Genomic DNA, 16,847 nt, shown 5'->3' on the forward strand with positions numbered 1-16,847 from the left:
GGATAAATGCTTGAGGGGATGAATACCCCATTCTCCATGATGTAATGATTATGCATTGCATGCCTGTATCAAAACATCTCATGTACCCCAAAAATATATGCACCTAGTATGTACCCTGATATGGTTTGGCTGTGTCCCTACCCAAATCTCATCTTGAATTGTAACTCCCACAATTCCCACATGTTGTGAGGGGAACCCGGTGGGCAGTAATTGAATCATGGGAGTGGGTCTTTCCCATGCTGTTCTCATGATAGTGAATCAATCTCATGAGATCTGACAGTTTTAAAAATGGGAGTTTGCCTGCACAAGCTCTCTCTTTGCCTGATGCCATCCATGTAAGATGTGACTTGCTCCTCCTTGCCTTCCACCATAATTGTGGGAAGGCCTCCCCAGCCATGTGGAACCATAGTCCATTAAACTCCTTTTTTTCCTGGTCTCAGGTATGTCTTTATCAGCAGCATGAAAATGGACTAATACAGTAAACTGGTACCAGTAGAGTGGGGCACTGCTGGAAAGATACCCAAAAATGTGGAAGTGACTTTGGAACTTGGTAACAGGCAGAGACTGGTACAGTTTGGAGGGCTCAGAAGAAGACAGAAAAATGTGGGAAAGTTTGTAACTTCCTAGAGACTTGTTGAATGGCTTTGCCCAAAATGCTGATAGTGATATGGACAATAAAGTCCAGACTGAGGTGGTCTCAGATGGAAATGAGGAACTTGTTGGGAACTGGGACAAAGGTGACTCTTGCTACATTTTAGCAGAGACTGGTGGCATTTTGCCCCTGCCCTAGAGATTTATGGAACTTTGAACTTGAGAGAGATGATTTAGGATATCTGGTGGAAGAAATTTCTAAGCAGTAAAGCATTCAAGAGGTGACTTGGGTGCTGTTAAAGACATTCAGTTTTATAAGGGAAACAGAGCACAAAAGTTTGGAAAATTTGCAGCCTGACAATGCAATAGAAAAGAAAATCCCATTTTCCAAGGATAAATTAAAGCCGGCTGCAGAAATTTGCCTAAGTAATGAGGACCCAAATGTTAATCCCCAAGACAATGGGGAAAATGTCTCCAGGGCATGTCAGAGGTCTTCATGGCACCCCATCCTATCACAGGTGTAGAGACCTACAAGGAAAAAGTGGTTTTGTGGACTGGGCCCAGGATCCCCATGCTGTGTGCAGCCTAGGGACTTGGTACCCTGCCTCCCAGCCGCTCCAGCCATGGCTGAAAGGGGCAAACGTAGAGCTCGAGTTGTGGCTTCAGAGGAAGCAAGCCTTGGTCAATTCCAAGTGGTAGTGAGCCTGCCATTGCACAGAAGTCAAGAATTGGGGTTTAGGAACCTCTGCCAGATTTCAGAGGATGTATGCAAACGCCTGGATGTCCAGGCAAAAGTTTGCTGCAGGGGAGGGGTTCTCATGGAGACTCTCTGCTAGGGCAGTGCAGAAGGGAAATGTGGGGTCGGATCCCCCAAACAGAGTCCCTACTGGGGCACTGCCTAATGGAGCTGTGAGAAGAAGGCCACTGTCCTCCAGCCTTCAGAATGGTAGACCAATGACAACTTGTACCATGCACCTAGAAAAGCCACAGACTTTCAATGCCAGCCTGTGAAAGAAGCCAGGAGAGAGGCTGTACCCTGCAAAACCACAGGAGCGGAGCTGCCCAAGACCATGGGAACCCACCTCTTGCATTAGCGTGACCTGGATGTGAGACCTGGAGTCAAAAGAGATCATTTTGGAGCTTTAAGATTTGACTGCCCCGCTAGATTTCAGACTTTCATGGGGCCTGTGGCCCCTTTGTTTTGGCCAATTCCTCCCAGTTGAAATGGCTGTATTTACCCAACACCTGTACCCCGACTGTATCTAGGAAGTAACTAACTTGCTTTTGATTCTACAGGCTCACAGGAGGAAGGGACTTTACTTGTCTTGGATGAGACTTTGGACTGTGGACTCTTAAGTTAATGCTGAAATGAGTTAAGACTTTGGGGAACTATTGAGAAGACATGATTGGTTTTGAAATGTGAGGACATGAGATTTGGGAGGGGCCAGGGCAGAATGATATGGTTTGGCTGTGTCCCCACCCAAATCTCATCTTGAATTGTAACTCCCACAATTCCCACATGTTGTGGGAGGAACCCAGTAGGAGGTAATTGAATTATGGGGGCGGGTCTTTCCTGTGCTGTTCTCATGATAGCGAATCAGTCTCACGAGATCTGACAGTTTCAAAAATGGGAGTTTGCCTGCACAAGCTCTCTATTTGCCTGCTGCCATCCATGTAAGATATGACTTGCTCCTCCTTGCCTTCCACCATGATTGTGGGAAGGCCTCCCCAGCCATGTGGAACCATAAGTCTATTAAACCTCTTTTTCTTCCCAGTCTCAGGTATCTCTTTATCAGCAGCATAAAAACAGACTAATACATACCCACAAAAATTAAAAATTATGAAAAATGAGGAAGTAAACTAATAAGCAGGAGAGAGATGTTAAATACAGGCCCTCATTTGGAGGGGTGGGGGATTAAGAATCAAACAGGCCAGGAGTCTTTGAACAATTCCAACTCCAAGACTTGAGGCTGGATGGTCTTGGACAAATTTCTTTACTCATCTGAGCCTCTGTTTTCTCATTTGTTAAAAAAAAAAAAAAATGGGCCGGGCTCGGTGGCTCATGCCTGTAATCCCAGCACTTTGGGAGGCCAAGACGGGCGGATCATGAGGTCAGGAGATCAAGACCATCCTGGCTAACACGGTGAAACCCATCTCTACTAAAAATACAAAAAATTAGCCAGCCTGATGGCGGGCGCCTGTAGTCCCAGCTACTCTGAAGGCTGAGGCAGAAGAATAGCGTGAACCCAGGAGGCGGAGCTTGAAGTGAGCTGAGCTCGCGCCACTGCACTCCAGCCTGGGCGACAGAGCGAGACTCCGTCTCAAAAAAAAAAAAAACGGGGGGTGGGGCAGGTGCAGTGGCTTACATCTGTAATCCCAGCTCTTTGGGAGGCCAAGGTGGAAGGATCACTTGAGGCCAGGAGTTCAAGACCAGCCTGGGCAACACGAGGAGACCCCACCTCTACAAATAGTAAAAATATTAGCCAGGCATGGTGGTGCATGCCTGTGGTCCCAGCTACTTGGGAGGCTGAGGTAGGAGGATCACTAGAGCCTGAGAAGTCGAGGCTGCAGTGTGCCATGATTGCACCACTGCACTCCATCCTGAGCAACAGAGTAAGACCCTGTCTCAAAATAAAAGAGGGGAGAATGGGAGTGACAGTTTCCAGCAAATAGGCTTATGTCACAAGTTTCATTCAATGTCTGTAATCTGCCTAGCAAAGTAATAGCTCTAGAGTGACCAAAAGGCCCAGTTTGCCTTGGACCTCCACCAGGTTTTAGAAAAGGGTAGAATTGGTCAATTTTTAAAATAGAGAAAAGGCACACTCACCTTCACTCTGAATGAATACAGAATCTCAAATGCTCCTTCCTTTTTCCCATTCAAAACTTATCCCACCTGTCTCACTCTTTCAAACAAGTCCAAGTGACTGGCTTTCTCATCTCTGGTAAGCCAAATCCCATTGCCAAGTTAGTATGTCCTGTCCTCCTCCCCCAACAAGGGATTTGATACAAGATTATGACTGTTGGATCTTAACCTAAAAGAAACTAATCACAAGAGGTAAGTGTGGCAAGTATTTAGGTCACTATGCTAGAAAAAATAAAACTAAATTTCACATGAAAAACCAAACCATGAGGGCGCAAACCCAGCATATCTTGCAGCAAGTAAAAGATGCATCGGTGCCGCCTGCCATTAAATAAGTTTTCCAGTTTGAGGGAAGGTTAAATAATCAGACACAAGTCAATACTCCAGCCTCCTTCCAAACTAGCTTGTACCCACACACGTAAGGCCCTGTTTCTCATGGTAGAAGCTGATTGCTCAGACCAAAGGTGAACTAAGCAGTTAATTAGACCACTGTGTGAAAACTTACTAGAATAAATTTGGGCAATCTTATCCAAGCAGGAGACTCATTAGTGCCACCACAGCTGTAGGAGAAATTATCAACTTGTCTGCAGGCATACACCCTCACATCTCTCCTGGAACTGGGGCAAAGGCTCTCAATGCTCCTACCAGTGCCTGGACAGGTGGGCAGTAGAGGAACTCTGCCTCTCCCTGGGACCCATCACAGCCATGGGCAACACCTAGAATGGCAGGGTGGAGCGGCCTTTCCCCTGTCTCTCCAGACCAGAATAAATTCTCCCCACTTGCTTTGGTTTCTGCCAGTGAGCTTACATCTCCATAAGCAGCATGTGTCTTAATTGCTGAGCCCCAGTCACCACCAGACAATCTAATCAATGTCTCCATAATTAACCTCACCAAATGGAAAGTCATAAATTTAGAACTAAAATGAAATTCTGCTCAGTCTGCATATAGAAACTGACATAGCCCAAAAGGAGACAACAGGGTAATTACCAGAATAATTTAAGAAAACCTTGTTTGGAAGGGAAGGAAAACAAAATAATGTGATACCAAAATGACCAGATGGATCATATACATTAATCGTAGTTGCTGGGTGACTGCTGGAAAAATATGTCTCTCACAAATATTTATAAATTAGTGGCATAAAAGCATTTGGCTGACTGGCCAGGCACAGTGGCTCATGTAATCCCAGTACTTTGGGAGGCTTAGGCATGTGGATCACTTGAGGTCAGGAGTTTGAGACCAGCCCGGCCAACATGGTGAAACCCCATCTCTACTAAAAATACAACAAAAAAAAACAGCTGGGCATGGTGGCGGGCCCCTGTAATCCCAGCTACTCAGGAGGCTGAGGCAGGAGAATCACTTGAACCCCGGAGATGGAGGTTGCAGTGAGCTGAGGTCGAGCCACTGCACTCCAGCCTGGGTGAAAGGATGAAGCTCCATCTTAAAATAATTAGTCTTAAAAACAAATAAAGCATTTGGCTGACTTAGTATACCAAAGTAAGAAGTGTGTTCCTATTGTGAAATAAGTGAAACATTACCTTCCTCATGGAAGCCCCCAATTCCAAAACCTGGCTCCACTGAGCTTGTAGCAGATTAAATGTTTTGGAAACTCACACTTTACTTTGAAAATTTATTATGTTAACTATCCAGAGACTGAAGGATATATTTTCAAAATGCCAAATCTGTTTTTAGAGTATGATATGGACCTATGTGAGATATATTATGCCTCTTCTAGTTTCTTCACACTAGAGCTTTTCTCTTTCAATCTCAGGATCATCCCCTGAGCATCAACAATTGCATAAGCAGAACTTGGTGGGGGGCAGCGGTTAAGATCAGTGGTGCCACTTGTCTCTTCCAGAAAGTGGCCCCAGATGGCCCGATGTTTTTAATTATTCTGTCTCCAGCTTCTGCTGTCAAGAGTTATTTAATATTCTTCAGTGTTGTCATTTATTTCCTCTACCTAAGCAGCTTAATTACATTTAAGGTCGCACACTGTCTGCAAGTTTTTTGGCTTATTTTTGCAACAAGCACCTCACATATTTGGCTTCAGAACAGTTCCTATCTTAAACCTTGAAATTAAATGAGTGATGTTGTCCTAGAATAATTCTTCTTCCCAGAATCTGTGGGACATCTGATACCATCAAACTCAAACCTCCACCCAAACAAAAAACGTGTCTCAAACATCCTCCCACCAGACTATCGTTCATGTCTGAATGAAATCTCAAAATGGAAAAGACTCCACAACTCTGTGCTGTAGTGCATCCCATTTATGGCAAGCTTAGCTTGTGAGGAGATTCACCCCTATGTTGATTCAGAATTCCTTTCCCACTCCTGTTTTCTAAATCTGCCCTCTCCAGTGATGCTGAATAAGAACGCATCCCTCCAAAGACGGGAAGCAAGTATCGTGATCCCCAGCTCGCCTCTGGCTTCTCCAAGCTAGCATCTGTGATGATTAATTTTAGATGACAACTTGACTGGATTAAGGAATACCTAGTACTGATAAAGTATCATTGGTGGGGGGTGGGGGGACGGTGTCTGTTAGGTATTTCCAGAGGAGATTGGTGTGTGAATCCAGGTGGACCAAGTGCAGAAGATCTGCCCTCAATATGGATGAGCAGCATCCAGCCGGCTGGGGGCTTGGATAGAACGAAAGTAGGGAAAAGGCAATTGGTGTCTCTCTGTCTCTCTCTCTCTGCACTCCCTCCTCCCCCTCCTCCTGGGACATCAGAACTGCAGGCTTTCTAGCCTTTGGGCTCCAAGACTTATACCAGTAACCCCTGGGTTCTCAGGCCTTCAGACTTGGGCTGAGCCACGCTACTGGTATCCCAGGGTCTCCAGCTTGTGGACAGCCAGTCATGGGACTCCTCAGTCTCCATAATCATGTGAGCCAAGTCCCCTAATAAATCCCCTCTCATACATCTCTATAAACATATATCCTATTGGTTCTGTCTCTCTAGAGAACTCTGGCTAATACAACAACCAAGGATGCTCTGGTGAATCCTTACAGGACCTGTTCTCCTGGTCACCCTCCCTCACTCATCCCTATTCCAAGTGCAGCCCCTGGACCCTGGACCAGCACCATCAGCATCTCCTGTGAGCTGGTTACAGCTCTCAGCTGCCCCAGAGCCCCTGAAACAGAATCTGCATTTCCTCACAACCTCAGAGAGGTCTGTGTCCACAGTAAAGTTCTGGATGGCCCCCATGATGCCTTTCTTAACCAAGAATGCCCAGCACCAAACGCCACACACCAGGTGTGATTCGATCAGAGCAGAGGACCTCAGGACTCTCGGCTGACCAGGCACTGGGTGGTCATCAAGACAGCCAAAGACCCCATCAAATGACCCACTTCAGTGTCCCTGCCTGAGAAAACCTTTCAGGGTTTTCCCGGGTTGTGTGTGTGTGTGGGGGGGGGGGGTACAAAAGCCCCCTTTACACACATCTCACTTTGCCCTCACCCCACATCTCCCTGTATCTCTTTTGCAGCCTAGCTAAACTCGCTGCTCTGGGCCATGTTCTTGCTGGGGCTCATTTTCGGTTGTTCCCTAACTGAAAGGGTGTAAGAGGTTGCTTTACATGGCACTGTAATGACTGTTATCTGTCTGCATCTATCATCCTTTTCCAGCCACACCAAAGTGTCATGCTTGGAATTCAAGTGGTCTACATTATTTACGTAGGCATTCAGATAGCATCTGGATAATCTGAAAGCTTCAAGAAGAATCTTTATTTTTCTGAACAATTAACTCTGCTCTCTCCTTCAATGGTACCTCAATTTAAATGTGATCTTGCAATTCTCATCTCTGAACAGAAGATGGAAGCAGAGTACAGACCAAACAACAAGTGGCTCCCTTAAGGATTAAGACATGGATAAAGTTTATTTATCTTTGCCACCTTCTTACTTGATCCTTCATGGTTTCTCGTACTTTTTCCCTCCAAGGTCCATTTTCAACTGGCTGTGAAGAATGAAATGATCTTAGAAACCAATTCACATTAAAATGCCAATACCTAAAATCCGTTTATATTTCAACGACAGCAAAATATACCATAACACAGGCCAGGTGCAGTGGCTCAGGCCTGTAATTCCAGCACTTTGGGAGGCCAAGGCAGGTGGATCACTTGAGTCCAGGAGTTTGAAGTGAGCCTACACAACATGGCGAAACCTCATCTCTACAAAAAATACCAAAATATTAGCCACGTGTGGTGGTTTATACCTGTGGTCCCAGCTACTTGGGAGGCTAAGGTGGGGGGAGTCTGGAAGGCGGAGGTTGCAGTGAGCTGAGATCACACCACTGCACCCAGCCTGGGTGACAGAGTCAGACTGTCTCAAAATATATGTACATACACCATATATACACACACACACACACACACACACACACACACACAAACACATAAACATACCATAATACAAAAGTATGACTGAAAAAAAAAATCAGTGAGGACAAAGTCTTCCCTGGGACTTGTCACATGGCATGCTCACAAGATAAGATGCTTTTGGTGTCTGTTTATTGCATCTGCTTATTTCTACTTAATTAAAATCTCATGTTCATTCAACAAATATTTACACACTTACCATCTGCCAGGCAGTGTTTGAAATATTAAGAATAAAGTAGTGAAGGAAACAGACAAAGTTCTTTTTCTTATGAAGCCTCCTTTCTATTAATGAACAATATTCAAATAAATATGTAATCTCAGGCAGTGATAAGCGTTATGAAAAAGTAAAAGTGGGATAAGGGCTGCGTTGTCTAGTACAGTATCCACTAAGTACACATGGCTATTGGTTTTTACATGAAACTTAAAATGCAGTTCCTTAGACAGGAGGAACTGCCCATGTGGCTAGAGACTACCACATTGGGCTATGCAGATACAGGAAATCTGTATCTCCATCATCACAGAAAATTCTACTGGCAATGCTGGCACAGTGGCAGGAGTTCTTTTTTTTTTAATAAGGTGGTTAAGGAAGGACTCACTGAGGAAGCAACATCTGAAAGAAGGCAAGGGTGAGCCATATTAAGATGTGAGGAGCAAGTTTTCAGGTAGAAGAAACAGCAAATGTGAAGGCCGAGGGGCATGCATGGTTTGATGTAGCAAGCAGGGGCAGGAGCAGGGCGAGTGAGGAGCTGAATGGCTGGAGAGTGGCTTTGAGAGGAAGATGGAGTCCACATCATATAAGACCTTCCAGGCCATGGAAATGACCTTGGCTTTTATTCTGAATGTGAATGCGAAGGGAAGCTAATGGCAGCTCTGAGCAAAGAAGTCACTGTAATGCACTGTCTTTTTAACCCAGTGTCTGGTCAGAGGTGGCCAGCCCAGCTGATGAAGGAATGGACTTTGGACTGTAGGTGTTTCCTGAACTTGATAGCCTCATATTTCACAGTACACTTTACTTCACCACCTAGTCATCCAATCAGATGATCATCTCAAATTCAACATGCCGGAAACTGATTTCACCTCGACCCTGCTTCTCTCCCACAGTTCCCCAACCCAGAGAATGGCTCCATCATCACATAAAGATGCTGTCATATCTCCCAACTTAAAAAAAAGACAACCCTTATTTTCTCTGCATCCCTCTTTAGCTACTGTCCATTCTATGATCTCCTTCGTGCGTGCACACACACACACACACACACACACACACACCCTTGAAAGAGGTGTCTATACACACTGTCTACAGTATTCCACCTTCCATTCTATCCTAACTCAGTCAGTCTCTTATCCCCATAACTACACAGAAACCACCCTCCTCCATTAGAAAGATGGGGCCACGACTGATCCAGCTTCAGGTCATAAACATCTGTTACCCTTGAGTCTTCTCTTTCCTCATCCACAGCATTCAATCCACTCACAAGTCTTGTCTTTACCCTTAGGATGACCACTTCTCCCCATCTTTACTGCGGTCCCCAAGACCAAGCCACCATCATCTCTTGCTGGGACCATGGCTGCGGACTCCTCACTCCTTCTTTTCTCCCTCCCCTCACATAAACCCTAACATGTGGGACTTCCACAAGATGAACCAGAACCTGAGGGTTTCTGTTGCAATTAGACAACTAGACCTGAGACCTCAGAAACTTGAGATTTACTAAGCTGTTTCCTTAGCTTAAGAGCATTTTCCGAATGCCCTTAAAGACTTTTAAGAAAGTTAATCTTAGACCCTCAAATGGCTCACAAGAATATACTCTTTTAGACAGGTGATAACATACATGAACACAGGGATTAAGCGGACTAAAGGAAGGTGCTGTTATGTTCATTTACCAAATGACCTGAACTTCAGGCCTCCTTGATGAAATGAGGTCACAGTTTTAGAAGATATCCACCAAGTTGATAAATAGGAACCATGCTTTAAAATTGTTTTTGTTGCTGAAAATTTACTACAGACAGTAACTTATTAGACGCCTATCCTTTTAGGTGGATGTTTCGAAAGTAACTTACAGAGGAAAGAAAACCTCAGTCCTCAAGATGATCCAGTATCTATAATTTTGAAGACTTTGAGAAATTTCCTGTAACCTCTGCCTATGTGGCCAAACCCTGGAAATACATAAGTTCACTGAGTGTACAGATACTATTATTGTCCTGGAAATTGCTGAAATGGATACTGAGAGCCTGTCTTACCAATGTAAACCTACAGTCATAACTGCAATGATTTCTGACAAGAATATACCCCGCAGTTCTCCAGAGGAGTTCAATCTCTTACATAACAGCATTCTCACTGACTCGATCAAAATTGGCCAATGACCTAAAGACTTGTGTCACTGTACTTTTTCTTTGGTAATTTCATGTTATTGCTGAAATTCACATTTATTTATTTTATTAAGTAGAGCTTAAGTATACTTCATAGTTGTTACTAGTTTTTTAAATTAATGTGATTGGGGTATAAATGCATTCATGAATACTTGGACTATTAATGAGAAGACATGAATACCTCTGTCTTGGAAGCTAAGGGAAAGGAGATTGAAAATGAAGCTGTTAGAAGAGAAATCTTGCTGATCAAGGAGAATTATGCATTGCAGAACCAGTGACTACCATAGCAATAATCAGTGACTCCTTCTTGTATAGCAAAATAGAAGAGAAAAAGAACTTACAGAATTCAGACCAAGAAAGTGATTGAACAGGTTCATGGTAAAGGGAGAATGAGCAGGAAGTGTGGCCGGCTACTCTTTATCCTTCTGGATTTTCCCTGCCACCCTTAGGGACACCAGTCACTGCCCTGTCCTAGTCATATTCACCAGTAAATATACAGACAAGCCCGTTTCTTCCTAGAACCAGCAGGAGGCCAGAAAGAGGGTACAACCTTTGTCCTTGACCAAGCTGAGACCTGTTCCCACCATCACCACCACCATCTCTCCTGGATTTCAGGGATCTCTGCTCCCAGCACTCCAGGGCTGTAACAGCTAGTCTGGGGGCAGTAGCAGAATTGGAGACATGAACATCCTATATGCTAGTGGAGGTGTAGCAGCATGCCCACCCTGCTCATTCCTTTCCACTCTGTTTCCAGTGCAGGAACACATCCTTCTCTTCCCCTTATTCTGGAAGAAATGTTCTCAAATGACCGTGCTCAATGTTCATGTCTGACACCTCTTCAGTCCCTTCCCCCATCCTGCTCACCCAGCTTTCTTTGCTGGATATAATCTCTCAGCCATCAGCTATAAATAACCTGGCCTTTGCCCTTCCACCCTCTGTGAGCTGGTCTAATCATCATCATCACTACTCCAGCTCCTGTTTGCTTCCCCACTTCCTTCCCCAGAGCCCAGCCAACACCACCCAGCATATTCCAACTCCTCCAAGGAGCACACACTGGCAGAAGCAGCAATTAACACTGGTATTTCTGCAAGCTGGAAATTCTTATAATTAAAACTTCTTTTGTAAGATCTCAGGAGTCTAAATAACCCTAAGGGAAGAAGAGCACCATCATCTTATCAGGAAATGTAATCAGTAGAAATAGATAAACTCAGGAATATAGGCCTAAAATTTTACTCTAGGGCACAATTATCAGATATAAATATTTCTGTTGATTAAAACATGAAAGCTTACTATATTCATTAGGAGCTTTTAGCACATACAGATAGTCTCTAAAAGCAGCAACACTTACAATCAGCCATGTAATCAAAAGTTAGTTCTGACATAATCACTTCCCGAAGCTTAACAAAGACAGGTCTTAATGGACACAGCAGCCATCCATTAAAGGAAGAAACAATTAGTTTGACAATATAAAGCTTATCACAAGTGTAAAACATTAAATTAAAGGCAACTGAAGAACACCAACTTATGGACAGCAGTCACCAATGTGATATTTATGAATATTTTAAATCTTAGAAGGCCAAACAAATTTGCAATGTAATTATATCAGCAACTTTAGAGATAACACCTTGCTAAACCCAGACAATGAGTCAACTGTCAATCCAACATTATCTCTACCTCTGTCTGAAAAACCAAAAAGCGCTGACATCAGATAGCATTTAGACTTCTGACATAACAATATGTTAAACTTTACTCACCCAGAAAAAGGATAAACATGTTTTATAAATGTGCCAGACCTGTCCACTTTGATAAATGCAAGCTGACAAATTATCCACAGGAAAACAAATATATTAACCTATTCCACATAAGATGGCTCAAATATGCAGCTTTCTACAGTTTCTGAAGAAGCCATACCACCACAAAAAAAGTTATTTTATTTGAAATATATATATATGGACTATATACATATATATGTATGTATACACATATACACATATATATATGGACTTTCTTCAAAATCACAAAAAAGAAAGGGTCTACATATCAATTGGGATCAATTCCAATAAACAAAAGCTCATGCATTTAGGCTGAAAAAATTATAACCACTCTGTAGTTTGCCTTCTCTCCCTCTCTTTCTCTCTCTGTCTCTCTCTCTCTCTCACACACACACAATTCCATTGCCCCAGAGCACTAAAACATGCATGTACTGACATTTAAACCATGAAGAACTACCCAGAGGCAAGTAGCTTGTCCATATTAAACATATTCCTTGCTGTTTTCCTACTTCCTCAAACCACCCTCCATGTGATCTATAACAGTGCTGACTTTCTCCATCTCAAAAATAACTGATAAATCCCTTCACACAAATGAGAGCTTCTATTGCCCAAGAGATGGGTGGACTCAACCAACTGGTTCCAGGATCTTGTTAGAAAATGCAAACTAAGCTAACTGTCTCCAAAAGAAAATCATCTCATTCCACATAGCTGAGAACTTGTATAACTGTTTTAATGCTATAGTAGGCACATGACTGAAATGTTCAGCTCGTGGGACCTCCTCAGGCCTCGAAAGGGATCTCTCCTGCTTAGACAATTCGGTGAAAGAAGCAGAGAGTTGTTAAAGAACACTGCTCTGTTGCAATTGCAAAGTGTCCATAATAAAGAGTGTACAGTACATTGCACATGGAAGACATCTGGGCTCAGACCCAAAAGACGGGAAGAATCAAAAAGCGAGTAGAGAAAGGAAAAAGACATCCAGCTAATGCAAAAAATGAAATTGTTCAAAGAGAGTTATTTGATGGTAATTCAGACCCCTCATCCAACCAGTCAAACTGCTTCTGTAATTCTATGAGTTAGGACAAAAACACAAAAACAAGGTTGCTCGACTTAGTGGTCAATGTAGACCTCATTTCACTGGATAATTAGCTTGACTCACTCAGTGTTTCACCTGCTTGTGAGACCAGTTTACAGACAGGCAAATGCAACTGGGATGGTGTCCCCAGGCTGAGTTTACAGCCATGGAAATTAAAGAAAACAGTGTAAATCCCTTCCCCCACCTTCCCAGCTTCCTGCCAAAATATGGCCCATCAAAATCACTGTGCTCATTCACTATTGCTTTGTCTGCAATGATGTGACTTTGAATGCTTACTCATGATACTCACCTTGATATCAGGGTTGTTTTTAATGTAATAATAGTGATAGTCTCTGCCACTGATGGAGTTCTTGCTGTTTCCCAGGCAGCATGGTATGGCCTTTAGGCATTCATACAACTCACATGTATTAAATGTCGACCAAGTGACAGAACTGTTCTAGGTTTGGGAGCACAATCTGAATGAAACAAAGTCCATGCTGTCATGGAACTTTCTCTCCAATAAGAGGAGGGAGACAGAAAGGCAAATATAGACTCTATCAAGTGGTGATTGGGGCGATAAAGAAGAAAGTGGGTGAACGTGCCAGAGGGTGACAGTGTCATCCTGACAAAGACCTCCTGGCACACACTTGTACTCAAACACACTAAGTTTACCGACTCATTGTCATAAGGGAGAACACGTACTGTTGGAATCTGGGAATCAAAGTAAGAGAGTGTTTAAAGGACTCATGATAATATGTGGGCTGTGTTAGATGATTTTGGGGGAGGATTCATGAAAGCAGGGTTTTGCTCTGGGCTGGATAGTGTCAGCACGTGGGGGTAATTCTATAATCAGGTATCTTAATAATTCTTACATGAAGGTAGGAAGGATGAAGCAACGCAGTCAGTCACTCACAGCAGCCACAAAGGGGACATGTGACCTTATATGTGGTTTGGACAATATTCTTATTTTTATCTGCATTTGGACATCAGTATAAAGGGGTTTTGCTTTTGTCTTGATCCATTATGGTCAGAGTGGCCTTATCTGATGTTGTGATCTGTGAAATTGCTTATGCTCAACAGAAGAATGGCATAGCTGAGATAAGGGTGTCAGGCCAGCTCCCAGCTGTCAAGGGTTGCTTTTCTTTTTCCCATACTCAAACTGCAGGCATCCTTCCAAAACAGGCACCATTACCATCTCTCTTTTACAAAATGATGAAACTAAGGTCCAGCAAGATAAAGGACTTATCTAAGAGCAAGCAACTAAGAAAGCCAGGATTCAAACCCAAGTTATCTGACCACAGAGCCAGCCTCATCGGCACTCCTTACACAGACCCTTACAGTGCTGCACCTTTTCACCTTTTGAGCTGCTTAGCAAAGCATTATCTTCAAAAAGACCAAAGTGGCATCTCAGTGGGAGGGTGGATGATGCACACAAAGCCTCGAGGGGAAGCTGCCATCAGTAGGCATCCCAGTACCTAAGTGCCAAGAAATTAAGTCCACGTAGTCACTATCAAGACAAAAGCATTTTTCTCCCAGAGATGAAGAGACATTTTCCATTTTATTTAAATTGGAAGGTTTCTTTTTCTGTAAGTTAATCAAAACTAATTTATCTCAGCAACTTATGACCTATAACCATAGTTTTAAATACTGGAACAAGTATGTTATAATAACATAAAAGTAAAATTCTAGTGTGTAAAGGTGACAGAGTATAAAACAATTAATATCAATTTTATCCCATATTCTAAAAACACCCTCTCCCATATCATCAAAAGTCAAGGCTTACCAAAAGGTTTTCCGGCTTGAGGTCCCGGTGGACAATGCTCTTGTCGTGCATGTGGACGAGGGCTTTGCATAAGTCCATGATCATGAGGGCAGCATCGGGCTCCGGGAACTTCACACTTTCTATGATGGCGTCAAAAAGGTCTCCTCCCTGCACGTACTCCAGGATCAGGTAGATTTCCATGTCTGTTTCGTAGACTTCATGCAATTTCACGATGTTGGGGTGAGAGAGGCTCTGGATGATCAAGATCTCACTGTCCACCATGTCCTCCTTGCCCTTGAGTCTGGACTTGTCAATGATCTTCATCGCATAGGCCTGCCTGGTCTCGCGGTGTCTGCACTCCTTCACGACAGCAAAGTTCCCATCCCCAATGACCCGGCCAGTCTCATAATGCTTTTCCACATTGGCGGCAATGATGCCCATGGGCCGTGGCTTCCGACCGCTGGGCCGCTCTGGCTTGTTCTCTTCTGGCCTCGTCTTGGGCTCCTTTTCTAGCTTTGCAGGTTGGTCATCTCTGAGAGTCATCCTTCTGCCTCCAGACATACATGGCTTTTTCTCCTTCTCTGCCTCCTTCTCTTCTCCTCGGGTCCTGCGGAGCTTCTCAAAGCCCGCCTGGTGCTCTCTCAGGAGCCAGCCACCATGTTTGCTCCTGCTCATGGGCCTGGTGTCCTTCTTCACCTCCCTCAGCCCCTCCTCTGTGACAGGAAGAACTTCCACAAGGTCCTTCTTGGCCTTGGCTGCTCCCTGAGCATGGCTTTCTTGATCCTCTGGGCCTCTGTCCTCTTTCTTGTCCATGCTCTTGCTGGGTCTCCTCAGCTCTTGAGTGGGATTCCTGGGGCTGCTCCTGTGGCTGTCACCCTTCCACCCTTCCTCCCCACTTGCAGGATTTGCCTCGGGAGACCTCCTGCAGCTTCTGGTCCTCACCAGCTTCTCCACATCATACATTGGGCCCTTCCCCATATCCAGCTCACTGGTCCCCAGAGAAAGCCTCTCACGCTCCAGGCTCTGCTGGAGCTCCCTCTCTCTCTTGCACTTCTCGCATCTGATAATTTCACCCGAGGTCTTTTCAATCTCCACCCCAAGATGCTTCTCTCCCCTTGCGTGCCTCTCTTCCAGAGTGGCTTCCCTGGGGGGCTTGCTACTGGGTTCTGGCTCCCATTTCCCCCTCCCCCACTTCTTCTGGGTCCTCGCTCTGTCATCTAGTGAAAGCTCCTCGGGGATCTTCCCCTGGTGCCTCATGGCTGCCTTGCATCCTGCAACTTCGCTGCAGCTCTTGGGGGTCTCGGTCTCCCCACAGCGGTGGTCTCCTTTCAGAGCCTTGCTAAACAGCCTGCTCCTCAGCCTTGGAGAAGGGGCACGGCTGTGCTGGGCCAGTGTCAGGGCCCGGGCTTTGTTGGGGTACAGTTCTTCTACAGCCACCTGAATGCTCTTCAGTGTCAGTGGTTCTTTGCCCATAGCTATGAAAGCATCCCCTTCCCTGAAGAAATCAGAGACGCTCCTGATTTCCCTGCCCTTGAGGTTAAACAGTTTCCTCACACGGTCATTCTTCCATCTGGGAGAGCCCAAGGCTTCTGAGATGTCAGCTAAGAGCTGCTCGAACGTCTGCACTGATCGCCTGTTGAGGAGCAGAGTGATCTTTCGGGGGCGCTGCCCACCCAGCTTCACTACGGTCACGACCCTGGGCTTCAGAGGGCTGTTCTCAGGATGTGCTGAGTGAAGGCCATTCCGAGGGCAGAACAAGGGCACGACGGGGCCACGCGGCCCCAGGAATGGTTTCTCCAGATTCCCTCGGCTGGCAGGCAGCCAGGAGCCTTGCAGCTTCCGCTCTGTGATTCTCGAGCTTAAATATTTTAGAGAATGGTCACATAGGCCTTGCTGTCCTGCAACAAGAAAAGGACAACAGAGTATTAGTTAAGATGGGTTCAGAGAGCCCTCAGCCTTCACCAAAACTTTACTAAAGATGACTGACTCTAGCATTACAGTTTATAAGTGTGGTTCCTGAGAGTCTGTTAGAAATGACAGAGCCTTTATACTTAGGTC

At 44.7% G+C, this 16,847-nt stretch overlaps 1 protein-coding gene across 3 annotated transcripts in view; it reads right to left on the reverse strand.

The window, feature by feature from the left end:
- DCLK3 (doublecortin like kinase 3) overlaps positions 1-16,847 on the reverse strand; it is a 52,133-nt gene that overhangs the window by 9,977 nt on the left and 25,309 nt on the right. For all 3 annotated transcript variants that reach the window (XM_047449090.1, NM_001394672.2, NM_033403.1), the window contains exon 2: positions 14,811-16,687. In XM_047449090.1, the coding sequence (XP_047305046.1) occupies positions 14,811-16,687 (1,877 nt within the window). The remainder of the gene's footprint in view (positions 1-14,810; positions 16,688-16,847) is intronic.

The sequence above is a fragment of the Homo sapiens genome, chromosome 3, assembly GCF_000001405.40.
Source record: "Homo sapiens chromosome 3, GRCh38.p14 Primary Assembly".
NCBI lineage: Eukaryota > Metazoa > Chordata > Mammalia > Primates > Hominidae > Homo > Homo sapiens.